General features: G+C 38.8%; 4 annotated features.

Moving 5' to 3' along the window:
- Positions 7,676 to 8,431: an enhancer, noted in NCBI's record as "OCT4-NANOG-H3K27ac-H3K4me1 hESC enhancer chr4:68263965-68264720 (GRCh37/hg19 assembly coordinates)". NCBI's record gives its function as "activates a minimal SCP1, AML or CMV promoter by ChIP-STARR-seq in naive and primed H9 embryonic stem cells {active_cell/tissue: H9 hESC(naive and primed)}" and the evidence as "EXISTENCE:reporter gene assay evidence [ECO:0000049][PMID:30033119]".
- Positions 8,432 to 9,187: an enhancer, noted in NCBI's record as "OCT4-NANOG-H3K27ac-H3K4me1 hESC enhancer chr4:68264721-68265476 (GRCh37/hg19 assembly coordinates)". NCBI's record gives its function as "activates a minimal SCP1, AML or CMV promoter by ChIP-STARR-seq in naive and primed H9 embryonic stem cells {active_cell/tissue: H9 hESC(naive and primed)}" and the evidence as "EXISTENCE:reporter gene assay evidence [ECO:0000049][PMID:30033119]".
- Positions 9,188 to 9,943: an enhancer, noted in NCBI's record as "OCT4-NANOG-H3K27ac-H3K4me1 hESC enhancer chr4:68265477-68266232 (GRCh37/hg19 assembly coordinates)". NCBI's record gives its function as "activates a minimal SCP1, AML or CMV promoter by ChIP-STARR-seq in naive and primed H9 embryonic stem cells {active_cell/tissue: H9 hESC(naive and primed)}" and the evidence as "EXISTENCE:reporter gene assay evidence [ECO:0000049][PMID:30033119]".
- Positions 9,944 to 10,697: an enhancer, noted in NCBI's record as "OCT4-NANOG-H3K27ac-H3K4me1 hESC enhancer chr4:68266233-68266986 (GRCh37/hg19 assembly coordinates)". NCBI's record gives its function as "activates a minimal SCP1, AML or CMV promoter by ChIP-STARR-seq in naive and primed H9 embryonic stem cells {active_cell/tissue: H9 hESC(naive and primed)}" and the evidence as "EXISTENCE:reporter gene assay evidence [ECO:0000049][PMID:30033119]".

Here is a 19,785-nt window from a genome sequence, read left to right on the forward strand (position 1 = left end):
CTTTCAGACATTTTATTTGTTGAGCTTCTACTATGGGCCAGCACTCTGCTGGAGACTGGAAATTTAAGATAGAAGTACAAACCCTTGTACTCAGGTTGTTCACAACACAACCCCAGGTGGAAAGAAACTAACCAGGAAAGTGTTTGAATTTCCCATTTGATGATGAAAGATTTCAGTAAATGCCACCTCTAAAATATGCTTCCTTGGTTTACGGGTTGAATATTCCTTATCCAAAATGCTTGGGACAATAAGTGTTTCAAATTTATGATTCTTTTGGATTTTGGATTATTTGCATTATACTTAACACTTGAGCATCCAAAATCTGAAAGTCTAAAATCCAAAATGCTCCAGTGAATATTTCCTTGGGCATAATGTCCGTGCTCAAAAAGTTTCGGATTTTGGAGTAATCAATCTGTACTGATTTCTTCAAGCTGAAGGCACTTAGTGAAAGTAAATGCAGGGAGGAGATGTCCCTGAACTCCCTTCATCTGCCTAAAGACAAATGCTCCAAAAGGAATTCAATTGTCATCAATCCCCTCCCCAGGAATTTCATCAACCAGAGGAGATTAAATTTTGTCACAGAAGAGGAAGACCAGAAGTCAACAGCACACCCAAATTTTGTCGAAAGCTATCATCTATTCTTTGAAAAAGCCATTAATCCCTCCCCTAAATCATTTGCTCTCCCTTAAGTTGCCTACATGCCCCCTCTTCTCTCCTAGATGAAGAGGGTATATAGGCTTCTATATCTCACTGGGTTGGGGAGTATTCACTTTTCTTTCATATGATGCCCTCATGCATGTAATAAATACTATCTTTTTTCCTATTAATCTGCCTGCTGTCAGTTAATTTCATAGACACAGTTATCACACTCTCAGAGGGTAGAGGGAAAGCCAAGTCTCTCATTCAATGGTTTGTAAATCCCCAGAGGTTTCTAAAAATATTTGTGTCATTGCCAAAAATAGGTTGCATCATTACCAAAAAGTAGCATCACATCTTAGCCTCCAGAAAATAAAGTCTTGACAAGTATCAAGGTGGTAACACTCTGGATAGGAGTGGAAATGTAACAGCGGGCAATAACAGAGGAAGGGAAGGAAAGCAAGGGAAAAGACATGATGCGATACAGTAACACACGACTATAGGGGCTCTCACTTCACAATGAGCCAGTAGTAAGTTGAGGAGCAGTTGTGTTTATTCTATCTGGGAACTTCTCCAGAAAGGTTGTAAGAAGGAGCTACTCTCCCTAGAAGAGAGAAAGGATGGGGAGCTTATGTGCCAGGCTCCCGTTTTTTGTTTTTTGGTGTTCTGTTTCTGCGTTGGTTGAGATTCACTTCATGGGGAGCTAGATTGTGTAAATGATCCCCTCCTGTTCATTCGGAAAGCTGGTTTCCACTGCTAAGGGATGGTGTTTTACTCGAGTTAAAACGTGGAAGGAATGCCTGGTAAGAGTAAAGCATCAATCAAGAGAAAGAGGCAGGGAGGGAGGGAAGAAGAAAGGGAGCCATAGAGGGACTTTGAGATAGTGCATGATCTTTGATTTCAATAGAGCATCCCTTACATTTTTAGGTTTTAAACTCAATACATAAAACAATTATATGATTTTTTATTTTTTCCCAGAACACACTGAGTGGAGATTACAGATGCAATTCCTTTTTTGCATGATCTTGACAAATTATGTTTCTCTCCTTCAGAATGCTTTCCAGTTTATACTCATTGGTATTATTTGATTAATAACCATAGCTTCCAAAAAATAGTAAATTTTTGATAACAAGGATCAAGTCTGATTTGAATTTTCATCGTATCTCCAGGAGCTGGCACTTAGTAGGCAAATGCTTGTTGAGTAAATAAGTGAATGGATAAAATAAGCGTGCTCGAAACAATCCCTGAGTTGTTGGCACATAGCTACATTTCAACTAGCTTCTCTGGTGACGCTGTCGTACAGACCTAAAATACTTCTATGTTTTGTCTTTTTGTTGTTGTTGTTCTCAATGGGTCATAAACATGAAATGTTTTTTTCCTTGTCTGTTCTTCAACTCTTCTGCCCACTCTTCACTTTCTAATTCCTGGGTCCTTTGGACAAGGAAAGGAGATTAGAGGAAAATGGCATATTTTTATTTATGGATGCTGCTGGGTCTCTCTAAGATATGGATGCCCTTTGGGTGGCAAGGGTCCAAATACTGGCTTTTTTGTGGAGTGTGTGTGTGCATCTTTGGAACAGAGAAGTTTCTGCAGAGGCCCCAGCTGCACTGCTGCTCATTGATGTGGGAGATCAGCTCCAGTTCAACCCTTCCAACATCCCTGTAGCTGCTATTTCTGGTAGCCTACCCCTCAGGATCTTGCTCCTGGGGTCTCTTCATCAGGAAACCCACCCTCTTAGGCAGATGGGGGAAAAGTATTAGCAAGATGGCCCAAGCCAAGCTACTTTCCAAAGTATCTACTTGTCAAGGAGGATTTTCAGTTATAGCAATGTGAAGGGTCAATAATTGCTTTCCACAAAAAGAAAGAAAAGAAAAAGTATAAAATTGGATAAAATTGTCCAAAACACCCATTTCAGAGCACTGGGCATCCTCACTCCAAGCTATCCATTCTTTCCTAAGCCTCTCCAACATCGGAATTTCTGACCTTTGTCCTTTGTACTCAAATCACTCCCAGGTGATTAGATGACTAAAGCTGATCTAATTCCTGTCATGGTATTGATATGTGTGCATGATATAATGGTTTAGCACATGCCCATGCCACATTTGCAGATTACTGGATGCTTCAAATCTTTACCCATAAGGAAGAAGAAATAACAAAAAATTTTAGCACTATTAAAAATTAGAGATATATTTTAGACAGAAAAGAGAATGATTCTTCTAGTTCTTCCTAAGCCTATCACATACCTAAGTTGCTGCCTCCTCTCCCTCCTATGAGCATTAAAATCTATATTTGTAGTTAAGTTAAAGAGAATTAACTAACTTTATAAGATTTTTGTGACACACATTTTGAGATAATTGAAGACCTCCTGATGTGCCAGAAATCCAGAAACTGAAATTTCCTGCACTAAATAATTTAGCAGTTTGTGGAGAGCTTATTCACTCAAGATTATTTCCAAAACAAGACCAAATACCCAAATCTTCCCTCCAGAGCTTTGGCTCTAATCCTTAAATTATTTTGATCTGCTTTCACTGGAGCTTCTTGTGAAAACTGAGCTATAATTGCTAGAGGTACTATAAATTAGATGGTATGTTATGTCTTTTTCTTTCCTAAAGTTAAACTGTTAACATTAGTAAGAAATTGATTTTGAGTCATTTATTAATAAACAGATTGAAGGGTTCACAGCGCCACCTAGTGGTATAACTTGTAAGTTTATGCAACTTTCCTTGATCTGAGTTGTAGTCAGAATTCTATACCAAAAATAAATGTTAAAAACTTAATTTTTTAATGGAAGTAATTAACATACATGCAAGTGTGTGTACCTCTTTTGTGAGATCATTCAAAAACTTCTTTAAAATTACTGAATTTAGTGTGATTAGGTTGGTGCAAAAGTTATTGCGGTTTTTGCTTTTTTTTTTTTTTTAACGACAAAAACAGCAATTGCTTTTGCACCAATCTTTTAGAAAACCTGGCTTGGCTCTGCTAACTTCCAGCCATATGACCATGAGTAAGTTTTTAACATCATTGTGCCTTGAGTTTCTAATCTGTAAAATTTGGGGAAAAAAATTGTTCTTGAAGAAGTAAGATGTTGAAGAAGGATAATAAAAGTGCTGAAGGTGATGGGATTCAGGACCTGCTACCCCCAAAATAAGTCACCTTGGCATTTGAGAAAACAGCAGAAACAGGAAAGCCATAAAACTTAGCCGACCTTCTTCTAAAGTAGGTTATAAGAAGCTTATATGCCCTGCCCAGAGGAAGGGAATGTCACACAAGGACACAGAGAAGAGCCTGAACAAACAGGCCCTGCTAAGTTCCCCCAGTTTATTACCCATTAGATCATACACTTTTGTCCTCCCAGCATACTTCTGCATGCCTAGCCATGAAAATTACCCAGTTTGCCCTGTTTCTTTGCGATGAGAGAGAAATACTATTCCCCACAAGGGCTAAGAAATAAATGCAGAGCAAGGAATTTACTTACATTAATTCCAGTTCTGAAGAATGAATTTTTCAGTTTGATGGAAACATGAGACAATAAGGTACTAATAAGAGAATTTTAAAAATTGTACAAGCAATGCAGCCTGGCAAGAGAAGAAGTAAAACCTGGGACATGAGAGAAAAAAGTGAAAAGGCAAGAGACTAGAGATCATAATGAGGTGAGAGAGCAGATAAGCCATAAATAAGGAAGAAAAAGATCCAGAAGGCCAGGAGGTAACAGAGATTCATTCCAGAGCTTTCCAGATGATGACGATGTCACAGATGTGCACAGAGGTGGATGTCACAGGGGTAGAGTTACCATAAGGCTGGGTGTTGGCTGATTTGTCCGGATATGGAATGCTCAAGGGCAGCAGAGAGAAAAGACCATCAGCTGGAGTCAAATCCTTTCATAATTGTGGGAGAGAGACCGATACTTAAGAAGATGACAATAAGAAAGGAATAGAGATGGGATGGGCAGATTCCATCAGTCCAAAAGCATGTGGAATTTTTGCTTGAGGGTGTCAGTTTCCTCAATCACTCAATCAGCCTCTTACTCCATCTGTGTGTGGATGTGTATATATGTCTGTGTCTCTGTCTCTCACGTCTCTCTCTCTGTCTTTCCCTCTTTGTCTTTCTTCTGCATAGTGTCCCAAAATTCCTAGTGTAGTTTTAAGCTTTAATAACTTCAAAAGTATAAATGCTACCAACAGACACACATGTTCACACATATATATGCACATACAGAGACCAATTCAGAATCTTGAACTTGGGAAAGCTTCCAAGTTTATTCCTTGAGGTACACAAAACAGCTGGTCAACTATTAAGATGTAGCACTATTTCCATTTCAAAAAATAAGGTCATGCTCCTGGGAAATTTTTGCTAAATGACCCAGGTAACAGCTTAGAGTCCCTGGATTTTAGCCTGTCCTTACCCACCTCATGAAAAGAAGTAAACTACATTAAAAACATATTTTAATAAAACTACAGTCAATGATTTTTTATGACAGGGTTCAGGACATGCTATACCAAACTGTAACACTGTGGCATACTGAATAAGCTAAAGGAATCTGAGGACCTCAGGTACAGGGAGAACTCTCTGACCTTCCCATGAAGCAGGTCAGAAGACCTCTATCTGTGTGGTGCCCTCCCTATACCTTACAGAAAGGAGCATCCTTATCTCAGAAGATGGAGGCTCAGACAACGGAATCTGAACCAACAGGCCTTGCTAAGTTTCCCCAGTTTACTGCTTTTAGCTCATGCCCTTTTTGTTCTATCATATTTTTCCATGACTTTTGACTCATCATCAGACCTAGTATAAAACACCCTAGATTAACCATTTCTTCAGGTCTTCATTTGCTGATGAAGACTCCGACATCACATTATATTAAATAAATCTGTATGTTTTTTGTTTCTTATTAATCTATTTTCAATTAATTCAGACTCAGCTGAGAACCTAGAAGGGTAGAAGAAAAAAATATTTTTCCTCCCTTACATATATGGTAGTATATGTTATATATTATACTGTGTCAGCATATTGTTTATTACGTATTATGTATGATACACTTTTATAAAAGTACAAAAACTGAGGCTGTCCTATTTTTAGCATGTGTTCATGGGTGGTGGAATATCATAGCTAAAGCAAGGACTCTAGACTTAGACTATCTCAGTTGAAAATGTGATTCATCAACTTAATAGCTAATCTTTGGTTAGGTAACCATCTTAAGCCTCAACTTTTTCTACTACACAATGGGATGGTACTAATACTACTCACCTCATAGGATCATGGGAAGGATTTAAAGATATAACATGGAAAGCCACAGTAATGCATCAGAAAGGTTTCCTTTTATTATAAAATTAGCTCAACCCCTTTCTATCATTTCTCTCCTCTTCCTTTTCTTCTTCACTCTTCTTAACTTGGCCTGCCTCACAATAATGTGAGGTAGGAAGTTTAGCCTAACTTGCTTCTGAATCTACTTTTTCCAAATTCATTATAGAAAAAAAGGTACTTCTTTTTTTTCCTAATCTCCTCTCCCTATATGAGAATTTGGGACCAAAATGTAAAACAATTCACTTCATTTGAATTCCAGGGAGATCTTAGCATATTTGAGCTTTGTGTCTACTGACTGTAATCGATTTTGTTAGGTTCTAGTCCTTAAACCAAAAAGAAATGTAGATTTATTCTCAGCAAGTCAAATTCTCATTTCTTGCTGTTCCCTGGACACAAATGAGATGGAGATTATTAAAAGGTTAAAATATTTTTGGAAACCATAACTATTATGCCTAGCTTTAATTAACCCTTCCATTGAATTAATGACAGGGTTAATTAGCTCAAATAGGATACAGCTTTTAGTTTGGGAAAATAAAGCCTTAGAGATTAGAGTCATTCTTTCACCATCTTGTGGTTTCATTCCCACACTGCAATGTGTTAAATAGATCTTTTCTGTAAAAGCTGGATAGCTACATCGTTTATCTACCTAATTTTAGTATATCTTGGCATGTATTTAAAGCTGCCACTTAAAACTACCAGACGATTGCATTTTGTCCTTTTTTCTTAAATGCCACATACTCAAATGTTCGGTCTTGATATCCCTCTAAAAATGGAGAATGTTTTCATATACATTTGGCGATAAATGAGAAAAGATGCAACGAGGAACAGCTGAGTTTACAAAGGAAGGCTGACACTTGCACAGTTCTGTGGGTTTCTTACTTATACACTACATTCTCTGCCAGTGTATCATTCATAGTTTTAATCAAGACAAATAATGATACCCTTAAAGGACTCAATCAATACAATTTGACTACTAAACTTGAAGACAAAGTGTTTTTGCTGTTGTTTTTATTAACTTTTTATCCATCTGTCTGGATGGTCATTTTCTACATCGCCCTTACTTCATTCAAACTACTGACAAGGAGAGAGCCTGAAAGCTACCCTCATGGGCAGAGTCGTCTGCACTGGTGAGGTAGACACAGCCTCAGGGTATCAGTGCCAAGATCAAGAAAACTCTTAAGTTTTCTAATTCCTCATCTACTTTTATTTCCATCACAGACTTAAAATATGTTCTTATTTACATAGTACAAATAAAACAAAAATTCTCTTATGTTTCCATGGTTCCAAAAAAGACTACTAGAGCTAACCTTTGAAGCCAAAATGGAACCAACACTCAGAACAAGCAAGTCTGTAATTTTCCAACTAAAATTATAACTGAGCTTTGGACTACAGACAGATCCATCCTTAAATAATGCCCTGCTTTGTCTCAGATACAGCATTATAAATGAATTCACTAGAAAAGACTTCCTATTCTTTATCAGTTAGCTATTGTAGCAAATAGCTAGCTATTTCCTTTCTATCAGTTAGCTGCATATGAAACTATACCAAAACTTAGTAGCTTAAAACAGTAATTCTGCAGGTCAACAATTTGGGCTAGGCTCAGCTGGTTGATTCTTCTGATCTTCACTGGGCTCATGCATGCATCTGTGGTCATTTGCTAGGTTAGCCAGAAGATGGCTGGTCTAGCATGGTCTCAGCTGGGATGACTTACCTCTGCTATACATGGTCTCTCATCCTATAGCAGGGTAGTTGAGACTTGTTCTCATGATGTCTGAGCAGGTTTCTATGCCTTATCAAGGCCTAAATTTGGAAGAGGCCTGAGACACATTCAAAGACTCTTGAGGCCTTGGCACACTGTCACATCTGCTGCATTCTATTGGCCAAAGTAAGGCCCAAGGCCAGCAGGATCACTTTGCAAAAGGCATATATACAGGGAAGAGTGAAGTGTTGTGGCCCATTGTTTGCAATGTTCCATGTTTATACCCAACACAACAAAAAGAGTGTTTCACATCTGCTCGGTCTAAAGGTTGGTTCACTTCTGTGAGTTGAATACAGGCACCAAAAAGAAGTTACTGAGAATTCTTCTTTCTAGCATTATATGAAGAAATCCCGTTTCCAAAGAAGGCCTCAAAGAGGTATAAATATCCACTTGCAGACTTTACAAAGAGAGTTTTTCCAAACTGCTCTATGAAAAGAAAGGTTAAACTCGGCGAGTTGAACGCACACATCACAAAGTAGTTTCTGAGAATGATTCTCTCTTGTTTTTCTACGAATATATGTCCTTTTCTACCATTGGCCTCAAAGCGATTGAAATCTGCACCTGGAAATTCCACAAAAAGAGTGTATCAAATCTGCTCTGTCAAAAGGAAGTTTCAATTCTGCTAGTTGAATAAATATAACACAAATAAGTTTCTGAGAATTCTTCTGTCTAACATTATATGAAGAAATCCCGTTTCCAACGAAGGCCTCAAAGGTGTCCAAATATCCACTGGCAAACTTTACAAAGAGAGTGTTTCCAAACTGCTCAATCAAAAGAAAGGTTAAACTCTGTGAATTGAATGCACACATCACAAAGTAGTTTCTGAGAATGATTCTGTCTACTTTTTATACGAAGATATTTCCTTTTCTACTTTTGGCCTATAAGCGCTTGAAATCTCCAACTTCAAATATCACAGAAAGAGTGTTTCACATCTGCTCCATTGAAAAGAAGGTTCAACTCTGTGAGTTGAATACACAGGACACAAAGAAGTTACTGAGAATTCTTTGTCCAGCAGTATATGAAGAAATCCCGTTTCCAACGAAGGCCTCAAAGAGGTCCAATTTTCCACGTGCAGATATTAAAAAGAGAGTGATTCTAAACAGCACTATGAAAAGAAATGTTAAACTCTGTGAGTTGAACGCTCACATGACAAAGTAGTTTCTCAGAATGATTCTGTCTAGATTTTATACGAAGATACTACGTTTTCTACCCTTGGCCTGAAAGCGCTTGAAATCTCCACATGCAAATTCCACAAAAAGAGTGTATCAAATGTGCTCTGTCTAAAGGAAGGTTCAAGTCTGTGAGTGGAATACACACAACACAAAGAAGTTACTGAGAATTCTTCTGTCTAGCATTATATGAAGAAATCCCTTTTCTAAGGAAAGTCTCGAAGAGGTCCAAATATCCTCTTGCGGACTATCCAACCAGAGTGTTTCCACACTGCTGCATGAAAAGAAAGGTTAAACTCTGTGAGTTGAACGCACACATCAAAAAGTAGTTTCTGAGAATGATTCTGTCTAATTTTTATACGAAGATATTTCTTTTTCTACCATTGGCCTCAAAGCGATTGAAATTTCCACATGGAAATTCCACAAAAAGAGTGTTTCAAATCTGCTCTGTCTAAAGGAAAGTTCAACTCTGTGAGTTGAATGCACACAACAGAAATAAGTTACTGAGAATTCTTCTGTCTAACATTATACGAAGAAATCACGTTTCCAACGAAGGACACAAAGAGGTCCATATATCCACTTGCTGAATTTACAAGGAGAGTGTCTCCAAACTGCTCAATCAAAAGAAAGTTTAAACTCCGTGAATTGAACGCACCCATCACAAAGTAGTTTCTGAGAATGATTCTGTCTATATTTTATACGAAGATATTTCCTTTTCTACTTTTGGCGTATAAGCGCTCGAAATCTCCAACTGCAAATATCACAAAAAGAGGTTTTCACATCTGCTCCTTCTAAAAGAAGGTTCAACTCTGTGAGTTGAATACACAGAACACAAAGAAGTTACTGAGAATTCTTCTGTCTAACATTATATGAAGAAATCCCGTTTCCAACGAAGGCTTCAAAGAACTCCAATTATCCACTTGCAGATATTACAAAGAGAGTGTTTCTAAACAGCTCTATGAAAAGAAAGGTTAAACTCTGTATGTTGAACGCACACATCAAAAAGTAGTTTCTCAGAATGATTCTGTCTAGATTTTATACGAAGATATTTCCTTTTCTACCCTTGGCCAGAAAGAGCTTGAAATCTCTGCATGCATATTCCACAATAAGAGTGTGTCAAATGTGCTCTCTCTAAAGGAAGGTTCAAGTCTGTGAGTGGAATACACACAACACAAAGAAGTTACTGAGAATTCTTCTGTCTAGCATTACATGAAGAAATCCCTTTTCTAAGGAAAGTCTCAAAGAGGTCCAAATATCCTCTTGCAGACTTTGAAACAGAGTGTTTCCAAACTGCTGCATGAAAAGAAAGGTTAAACTCTGTGAATTGAACGCACACATCACAAAGTAGATTCTCAGAATGATTCTGTATAGTTTTTATACGAAGATATATCCTTTTCTATCTTTGGCCTAAAAGCTCTACAAATCTCCACGTGCAAATATCACAAAAAGAGTATTTCACATCTGCTCTGTCTAAAGGAAGTTTCAACTCTATGAGTTGAATACACACAACACAAGGAAGTTATTAAGATTTATTCTGTCTAGCAGTATATGAAGAAATCCCGTTTCCAATGAAGGCCTCAAAGAGGTCCAAATATCCTCTTGCAGACTTTACAAACAGAGTGTTTCCAGGCTGCTCTATGAAAAGAAAGGTAAACATATCACTCTTATTTGAATACTTTTATATTTGTTCCTATTCAACTTAGGACAGTATTATAATAGAACAGACTCCCAATGTTACCAATAAGCTAATAATGTTGCTATAGAAACTTATTCAAATCATTTATACACATTTTCCACATAATACAAATTCTGTTTTAACATGACCACGTTGTACATTAACCCCACAAGTTATAGCTGGGAATTGATAATTAACCTCAATGCCACACAGAAAACCAGTGTATCCCAGTGAAAAAAAAAAAAAGCAGTGAACTACAAATCAAACAAAACAGTTTTACTTTGGTTCTACCAATGACACCCTATGATGGTGTCTTCATGATTAAAACTAAGGACTAAGTAGTTAAATGACTTCTTAAGTTCCACTCAATTAAAATGAAAAGAACTAATAAAGAGGAGAGAGGAGAGATAGTGCTTAGAAGAAAAGGGTTTCCAAGTTTCATTGGATATAGACATATTTCAGGAGTTTCCTAAAATATCCTTGTTGGGAGAAAGCCTGGTAACCTAGAAAGCTGGCTTGAGAAATAGAAGACCTGATCTCTGCTCCCATCTCTACAACTTATTTGTCAGGGACTTTGAGAAAGAAATTGCTATCCATAGGCCAGCATTTGCTCATTTCCATAAATTAAGGCAATAGACTAAGTGATTTTTTTAAATCTCTGCCAATGCTTAATAAATAAATAAATAAATAAAAAGCTGTGGCGGTTCCTGAGTTCACTGTATATAATTACTATGCGTGCCTCACTCCCATCCTTACTCAACCTCCCACTCCACTTTCCATCCATCCTGGAAAAAAAAAAAATCCAAAAATGTGTATGTCAAATGGCCTTAATCCAGTTGGGCTAAGAGTACTTGCAATGTAAATGAGAGAATTCAATATGCTAACATTTGTAGTGAGTGACAACTTGTTTGACAATCAGATTACATGACAGACGAGACAAGAGAAGGCTGCCAACAGCATACTGGATGTGTGACTGGGGGTGTGGTGTGAGAAGTGACAGTGACATGAAAGAAATAAAGGCTTTTTTCAGAAAATGGATGATTCAACAGAGTATAAATGAAGCTGTTCTGGGGATGGCAGATAAGACTTTCTAGATAAGCTGCATGAACACCTACAAGGGACTGGCAATTAGAAAAGGTTTAAAACCAAAATTCAAAATAGGAAGAGAATAGAATTCAGGGGAGCTGAGCAGGGGTGTGTGCCAGAAGAGAGGAAATTTGGGGTGATTTCTAGAAATAGGGCTCTAGAAGAGAACCAGCACTCAGTTTAACCCAACAAAATCAAAAGATGCTTGCACATGCATGTTTATAGCAGCACAATTCACAATTGCAAAAACATTGAACCAGCCTAAATGCCCATCAGTCAACGAGTGGATAAAGAAACTGTAGTGTACATATATAGATATGATGGAATACTACTCAGACATAAAAAGGAATGAATTGATGGCATTTGCAGCAACCTGGATGGGATTGGAGACTATCATTCTAAGTGAAGTAACTCAGGAATGGAAAACCAAACATCGTATGTTCTCACTCATAGGTGGGAGCTAAGCTATGAAAATGCCAAGGTGTAAGAATAATACAATACACACTGGGGACTCAGGGGGAAAAGGTAGGAAGGAGGTGAGGGATAAAAGATTACAAACTGGGTTCAATATATACTGCTCGGGTGATGGGTGCACCAAAATCTCACAAATCACCACTAAAGAACTTACTCATGTAACCAAATATCACCTGTTCCCCCAAAACCTAAGGAAACAAAAAATTAAATAAATAAATAAATAAATAAGAAATTTTTAAAAATACTCTTTCCTCATGGAGCATTTTAGAAAGGGAAAACAGAAAGTTTTTATGGGATAAATAAAGCAGGAAATGGGTTCCTGGGTAGGGTCAGGGAGGTTGCACTTTTTAAAAGATTAGTCAGGGAAGGCTTCAATGAGAAGTGGTATTTGAGTACAGACTAGAAGGAGATGAGTGCAAAGGTTCTCTACCACTTGTATGAGCCTGATGACTCTGAATACACACAAGACATCAGGCAAAGCAGATTCATTACTCACAGATAGGCAGCAAGAACAAACAAAAGCCTAAGATCCATGGCGAGCCAACCTCCCAAGGCTCAGGAAAGCTGCTCATGGTGGCTGGACTCTCACCTGTATGTGCCCTTTGCCAAACAGCAGCTAACAGACCCCCAAAGCATGCACCATGCCCTGGGTTTTATACCCTGGACGCTACTTGGACCACTGAGTTCAAGCATTGTAAGACATTCTGTTCTAGGAGGAACAAGGATATATTCTGGGCTGTTCCAGAGAGTTCCTTCTTATCTCAGGACATTGCATTCTTGGTACATTCTACAGCTATTCTAAGTATTACAATTAGTAGTCTGAGAGAGACAGGTCAGTCCAAGCCAACCAGGGACATGTTCTACTGCAGTGAGGGGGTTATACAGGCTGACATTTGAGAACAGATGTTCAAAGCAGATCATGCCTCATATATACTAAGATCTGCAAAGAGGCCAGTGCAGCTGAAATGAAATGAGCAGGTAGGGAGAGATGTAGTTCAGAAAGAAGAACTAGTTTGTGGGCATGTTGGAAGGCCTCTGTGAACTTTTTCTCAGAGGATCACAGGAAGATATGGGATGGCTTTGAGCAGAGAGACGTGACCTGACTATCATGAAAGTAATGGGGCTTTGGTCTCAGTCTGGTCATGTTGGTTGCATAAACTTATTTGTATGTTAAGAAGGGCAAATATACAACAGAATCAAGATCTCTAAATCAGTTTATTCTTTATTCAATAAACAAATATTTAAGTGAACAAATGTAAGCCTAAATTCTAGAGATACGACAATGAATATAACACAAACGTGCCATAGGAACTTAAGATTTAGCAGGAGAGATAAACAAGAAGACAGTCACAACTCAGATGTAACTTTACTTCTTTTTTTTTTTTTTTTTTTTTTGAGATGGAGAGTCGCTCTGTCGCCCAGGCTGGAGTGCAGTGGCGCGATCTCGGCTCACTGCAAGCTCCGCCTCCCGGGTCCACGCCATTCTCCTGCCTCAGCCTCCCGAGTAGCTGGGACTACAGGCGCCCGCCACCACGCCCGGCTAATTTTTTTTTTTTTTTTTTTTTTTTTTTTTTTTTTGGTAGAGTCGGGGTTTCAGCGTGTTAGCCAGGATGGTCTCTATTTCCTGACGTCGTGATCCGCCCACCTCGGCCTCCCAAAGTGCTGAGATTACAGACGTGAGCCACCGCGCCCTGCCACTTTATTTCTTTATAAACCTAATTTGTTTGTAGGTCTCCACTCAATAGTAGAAAACAAAGTAGGTTACCTATTCACAGTAACTTATTCACATTTGCATTTAAAAGAAAACAAAACCCTCTTCCAATTTAGTTTAGTCTCTGGTTCTCCCAGAGGTTAGGGTATTCGCCTCTCAGAGTATGCAGGAAAGCGAATTTGACAAGAGAGAAGTGACTCTTCCCATGTGTTCCACCCACTTGGCTGTGCTTATGAGCATCTCTCCTTCCAGCCTCTTTCAGCTGGAGTGTCTGGAGTGTCGGAGTGCAAGCTGTTCTCCCTGCACTGTCAAGAGCAAAGGTCTTCCCCACCACTGAGGACTAAGCTTGGGCATGGCCCTTGCGGGAATTGCTGGTTTTCTGCATCTTTCCCAAGACCCCTAACTGGCCCCCAGCTTTGGGCTACCCACTGCCAGCGAGTTGGCCCTACGCTATCAGCCACATTCCACAAACCCCAGAGGGTCAGGCACACACATCCGCATCTTCCTCATGCCAATCATAGGCTTCAGAAAATCAAGGAGGGTAAACTCCTACAACCACTTCCCATTGGAGAGAGGCACTCTGCAGGGCATCTCTCCACAGCCTCTCAGATGGAAAGCCAGGCACAAACGCACTTTGTTTTTGTTATCTTCCAACCTCTCTGACTAGTCTTTATTTTCCCAACTAAAGGTGCAAACCCTGAGGTGGAGGCACGGAACAAGCTCTACACTCTGTTCTGCTACTCTCCTCTCCCTCCCCAACCCAAGGTCCTACCCCAGCTGATAAGGACTTCCAACCTCCTTCTGCATGATAAATGCCTTGACATAGCCTGTTTCCACTCAACAGTTTTGTCTCAAGATCCTTTACACTTGTAAAAAATGTGGGGAGTTCAAAGGGCTTTTGTGCAGATTACATATATTAATATATTTTTTATTATACTTTAAGTTCTAGGGTACATGTTCACAACCTGCAGGTTTGTTACATATGTATGCATGTGCTATGTTGGTGTGCTGCACCCATTAACTCATCATTTACATTAGGTATATCTCCTAATGCTTTCCCTCCCCCCTCCCCCCACCCCACAACAGGCCCCAATGTGTGACTGTTCCCTTTCCTATGTCTAAGTGTTCTCATTGTTCAATTCCCACCTCTGAGTGAGAACATGCAGTGTTTGGTATTTTGTCCTTGTGATAGTTTGCTGAGAATTATGGTTTCCAGCTTCATCCATGTCCCTACAAAGGACATGAACTCATCCTTTTTTATGGCTGAATAGTATTCCATGGTGTATATGTGCCTCATCTTCTTAATCCAGTCTATCATTGATGGACATTTGGGTTGGTTCCAAGTCTTTGCTATTGTGAATAGTGCTGCAATAAACATACGTGTGCATGTGCCTTTATAGCAGCATGATTTATAATCCTTTGGGTATATACCCAGTAATGGGATTGCTGGGTCAAATGGTATTTCTAGTTCTAGATCCTTGAGGAATTGCCACACTGTCTTCCACAATGATTGAACTAGTTTACAGTCCCACCAACAGTGTAAAAGTGTTCCTATTTCTCCACATCCTCTCCAGCACCTGTTGTTTCCTGACTTCTTAGTGATCACCATTCTAACTGGTGTAAGATGGTATACATATATTAATATTTGATGTGTTAGAAATCAAATCTGAGATAATTTTAAAATATTTATTTACACGTTAATTTAAAAATAATAAATTTATTACTAGTTAACATAACTCAAATAACATTTTGGGAAAAATAACTCAACTTTTTTTCTTTTATTTTTTTCTTTCTTTTTTCTTTTCTTTTTGGAGACAGGATCTCCCTCTGTTACCCAGGCTGGAGTGCAGTGGCACAATCTTGGCTCACTGGAACCTCCACCTCCCAGACTCAAGTGATCATTCCACCTCAGCCTCTCCAGTAGCTGAGACCACGGGCGTGCACCAAGACACCTAGCTAATTTTTGTATCTTTTCATTTTATTTATTTTATTTTTTTTTTATTATACTTTAAGTTCTGGGATACCTGTGCAGAATGTGCAGATTTGTTACATAGGTATACTTGTGCCATGGTGGTTTGCTGCACCCATCAACCTGTTATCTACATTAGGTGTTTCTCCTAATGCTATCCCTCCCCTTGCCCCCCACCCCCTGACAGGCCTGGGTGTGTGATGTTCTCCCTCCCTGTGCCCATATGTTCTCATTGGTCAGCTCCCACTTATAAGTGAGAACATGTGGTGCTTGCTTTTCTGTTCCTGTGTTAGTTTGCTGAGAATGATGGTGTCCAGCTTCATCCATGTCCCTGCAAAGGATATGAACTCATCCTTTTTTATGGCTGCATAGTATTCCATGCTGTATATGCGCCACATTTTCTTACTCCAGTCTATCATTGATGGACATTTGGGTTGGTTCCAAGTCTTTGCTATTGTGAACAGTGCTGCAGTAAACATATGTGTGCATGCGTCTTTATAGTAGACTGATTTATAATCATTTGGGTATATGCCCAATAATGGGATTGCTGGGTCAAATGGTATTTCTGGTTCTAGATCCTTGAGGCATCGCCACACTGTCTTCCACAATGGGTGAACTAATTTACACCCCCAAAAACAGTGTAAAAGCATTCCTATTTCTCCACATCCTTGCCACCATCTGTTGTTTCCTGACTTTTTAATGATCACCATTCTAACTGGTGTGAGATGGTATCTCATTGTGGTTTTGATTTGCATTTCTCTAATGACCAGTGATGATGAGCTTTTTTTCATATGTTTGTAGGCCACATAAATATCTTCTTTTGAAAAGTGTCTGTTCATATCCTTCGCCCACTTTTTGATGGAGTTGTTTTTCTCTTGTAAATTTAAGTTCCTTGTAGATTCTGGATATTAGCCTTTTGTTAGATGGATAGATTGCAAAAATTTTCTCCCATTCTGTAGGTTGCCTGTTCACTCTGATAATAGTTTCTTTTGCTGTGCTGAAGTTCTTTAGTTTAATTAGATCCCATTTGTCTATTTTGGCTTTTGTTGCAATTGCTTTTGGTGTTTTAGTCATAAAGTCTTTGCCCATGCCTGTGTCCTGAATGGTATTGCCTAGGTTTTCTCTAGGGTTTTTATGGTTTTAGGTCTTATGTTTAACTCTTTAATCCATCTTGAGTTAATTTTTGTATAAGGTGTAAGGAAGGGGTCCAGTTTCAGTTTTCTGCATATGGCTAGCCAGTTTTCCCAGCACCGTTTATTAAATAGGATATCCTTTCCCCATTGCTTGTTTCTGTCAGGTTTGTCAAAGATTAGATGGTTGTAGACGTTTGGTGTTATTTCTGAGGCCTCTGTTCTGTTCCATTGGCCTATATATCTTTTTTGGTACCAGTATCAAGCTGTTTTGGTTACTGTAGCATTGTAGTATAGTTTGAAGTCAGGGAGCATGATGCCTCCAGCTTTGCTCTTTTTGCTTAGGATTGTCTTGGCTATACAGCTCTTTTTTGGTTCCACATGAAATTTAAAGAAGTTTTTTCTAAATCTGTGAAGAAAGTCAATGGTGGCTTGACGGGAATAGCATTGAATCTATAAATTACTTTAGGCATTATGGCCGTTTTCACTATATTGATTCTTCCTATCCATGAGCATGGAATGTTTTTCCATTTGTTTGTGTCCTCTCTTTATTTTCTTGAGCAGTGATTTGAGGTTACACCTTGAAGAGGTCCTTCACATCCCTTGTAAGTTGTATTCCTAGGTATTTTATTCTCTTTGTAGCAATTGTGAATGGGAGTTCACTCATGGTTTGGCTCTTTGTTTTTCTATTAATGGCATATAGGAATGCTTGTGATTTTTGCACATTGATTTTGTTTCCTGAGACTTTGCCTAAGTTGCTTATCAGCAGGGAGTTTTTGGGCTAAGATGATGGGGTTTTCTAAATATACAACCATGTCATCTGCAAAGAGAGATAATTTTACTTCCTGTCTTCCTATTTAAATATGCTTTTTTTCTTTCTCTTGCCTGATTGCCATGGCCAGAACTTCCAATACTATGTTGAATAGGAGTGGTAAGAGAGGGCATCCTTGTCTTGTGTCAGTTTTTAAAGGGAATGCTTCCAGCTTTTGCCCATTCAGTATTATATTGGCTGTGGGTTTGTCATAAACAGCTCTTACTATTTTGAGATTCGTTCCATCAATACTGAGTTTATTGAGTGTATTTAGCATAAAGCAGTGTTGAATTTTATCAAAGACCTTTTCTACATCTATTCAGATAATCATGTGGTTTTTGTCATTGGTTCTTTTTATGTGATGGATTACGTTTACTGATTTGCACATGTTGAACCAGCCTTGCATCACAGGAATTAAGCTGACTTGATCATGGTGGATAAGTATTTTGATGTGCTGCTGGATTTGGGTTGCCAGTATTTTATTGAGGATCTTTGCATTGATGTTCATCAGGGATATTGACCCGAAATTTTCTTTTTTTGTTGTCTGTCAGGTTTTGGTATCAGGGTGATGCTGGCCTCATAAAATGAGTTAGGGAGACATCTCTCCTTTTCTTTTTTTTCTTTCTCTTTTTTTTTTTTTTTTTTTTGGAGATGGAGTCTCACTCTGTCACCCAGGCTGGAGTGCAGTGGCACAATCTAGGCTCACTGCAAGCTCCGTCTCCTGGGTTCAAGCCATTCTCCTGCCTCAGCCTCCTGAGTAGCTGGGACTACAGGCACCTGCCACCACGCCCAGCTAATTTGTTTGTATTTTTTTTTAGTGGAGACGGGGTTTCACGTGTTAGCTAGGATGGTCTCAATATCCTGACCTCATAATCCACCCACCTCAGCCTTCCAAAGTGCTGGGATTACAGGCGTGAGCCACCGCACCCGGTCAGGAGTCCCTCTTTTTCTATTGTTTGGAATAGTTTTAGAAGGAATGGTACCAGTTCGTCTTTGTACCTCTGGTAGAATTCAGCTGTGAATCCATCTGGCCCTGGGCTTTTTTTGGTTGGTAGGCTATTAATTACTCCTCAATTTCAGAACCTGTTATTGGTCTATTCAAAGACTCGACTTCTTCCTTGTTTAGTCTTGGGAGGGTGTATGTGTCCAGGAATTTATCTATTTCTTCTAGATTTTCTAGTTCATTTGTGTAGAGGTGTTTATAGTATTCTCTGATGGTAGTTTGTATTTCTATGGGATCAGTGGTGATATCCGCTTTATCATTTTTTATTGCATCTATTTGATTCTTCTCTCCTTTCTTCTTTATTAGTCTGGTTAGCAGTCTATTTTGTTAAGTCTTTTCAAAAAACCAGCTCCTGGGTTCATTGATTTTTTGAAGAGTTTTTCGTGTCTCTATCTCCTTCACTTCTGCTATGATCTTAGTTATTTATTTTCTTCTGCTAGTTTTGAATTTGTTTGTTCTTGCTTCTCTAGTTCTTTTAATTGTGAAGTTAGGGTATCTATTTTAGATCTTTCCCGCTTTCTCTTGTGGGCATTTAGTGCTATAAACACAGCTCTAAACGTTGCTTTAGCTGTGTCCCAGAGACTCTGGTACGTTGTGTCTTTGATCTCATTGGTTTCCAAGAACTTATTTATTTCTCCCTTAATGTTGTTATTTACCCAGTAGTCATTCAGGAGCATGTTGTTCAGTTGCCATGTAGTTGTGTGGTTTTGAGTGTGTTTCTTAATCCTGAGTTCTAATTTGATTGCACTGTGGTTTGAAAGACTGTTTGTTAGGATTTCCATTGTTTTGCATTTGCTGAGGAGTATTTTACTTCCAATTATGTGGTCAGTTTTAGAATAAGTGCTATGTGGTGCTGAGAAGGATGTATATTCTGTTGATTTGGGGTGGAGAGCTCTGTAGATGTCTATTAGGTCCACTTGGTCCAGAGATGATTGTCAAGGTATTCAGAACTGAGTTCCTGAATATTCTTGTTAATTTTCTGTCTCGTTGATCTGTTTAATATTGACAATGGGGTGTTAAAGTCTCCCACTATTATTGTGGGGGAGTCTAAGTCTCTTTTTAGG

This window comes from Homo sapiens, chromosome 4 (genome assembly GCF_000001405.40).
Source record: "Homo sapiens chromosome 4, GRCh38.p14 Primary Assembly".
NCBI lineage: Eukaryota > Metazoa > Chordata > Mammalia > Primates > Hominidae > Homo > Homo sapiens.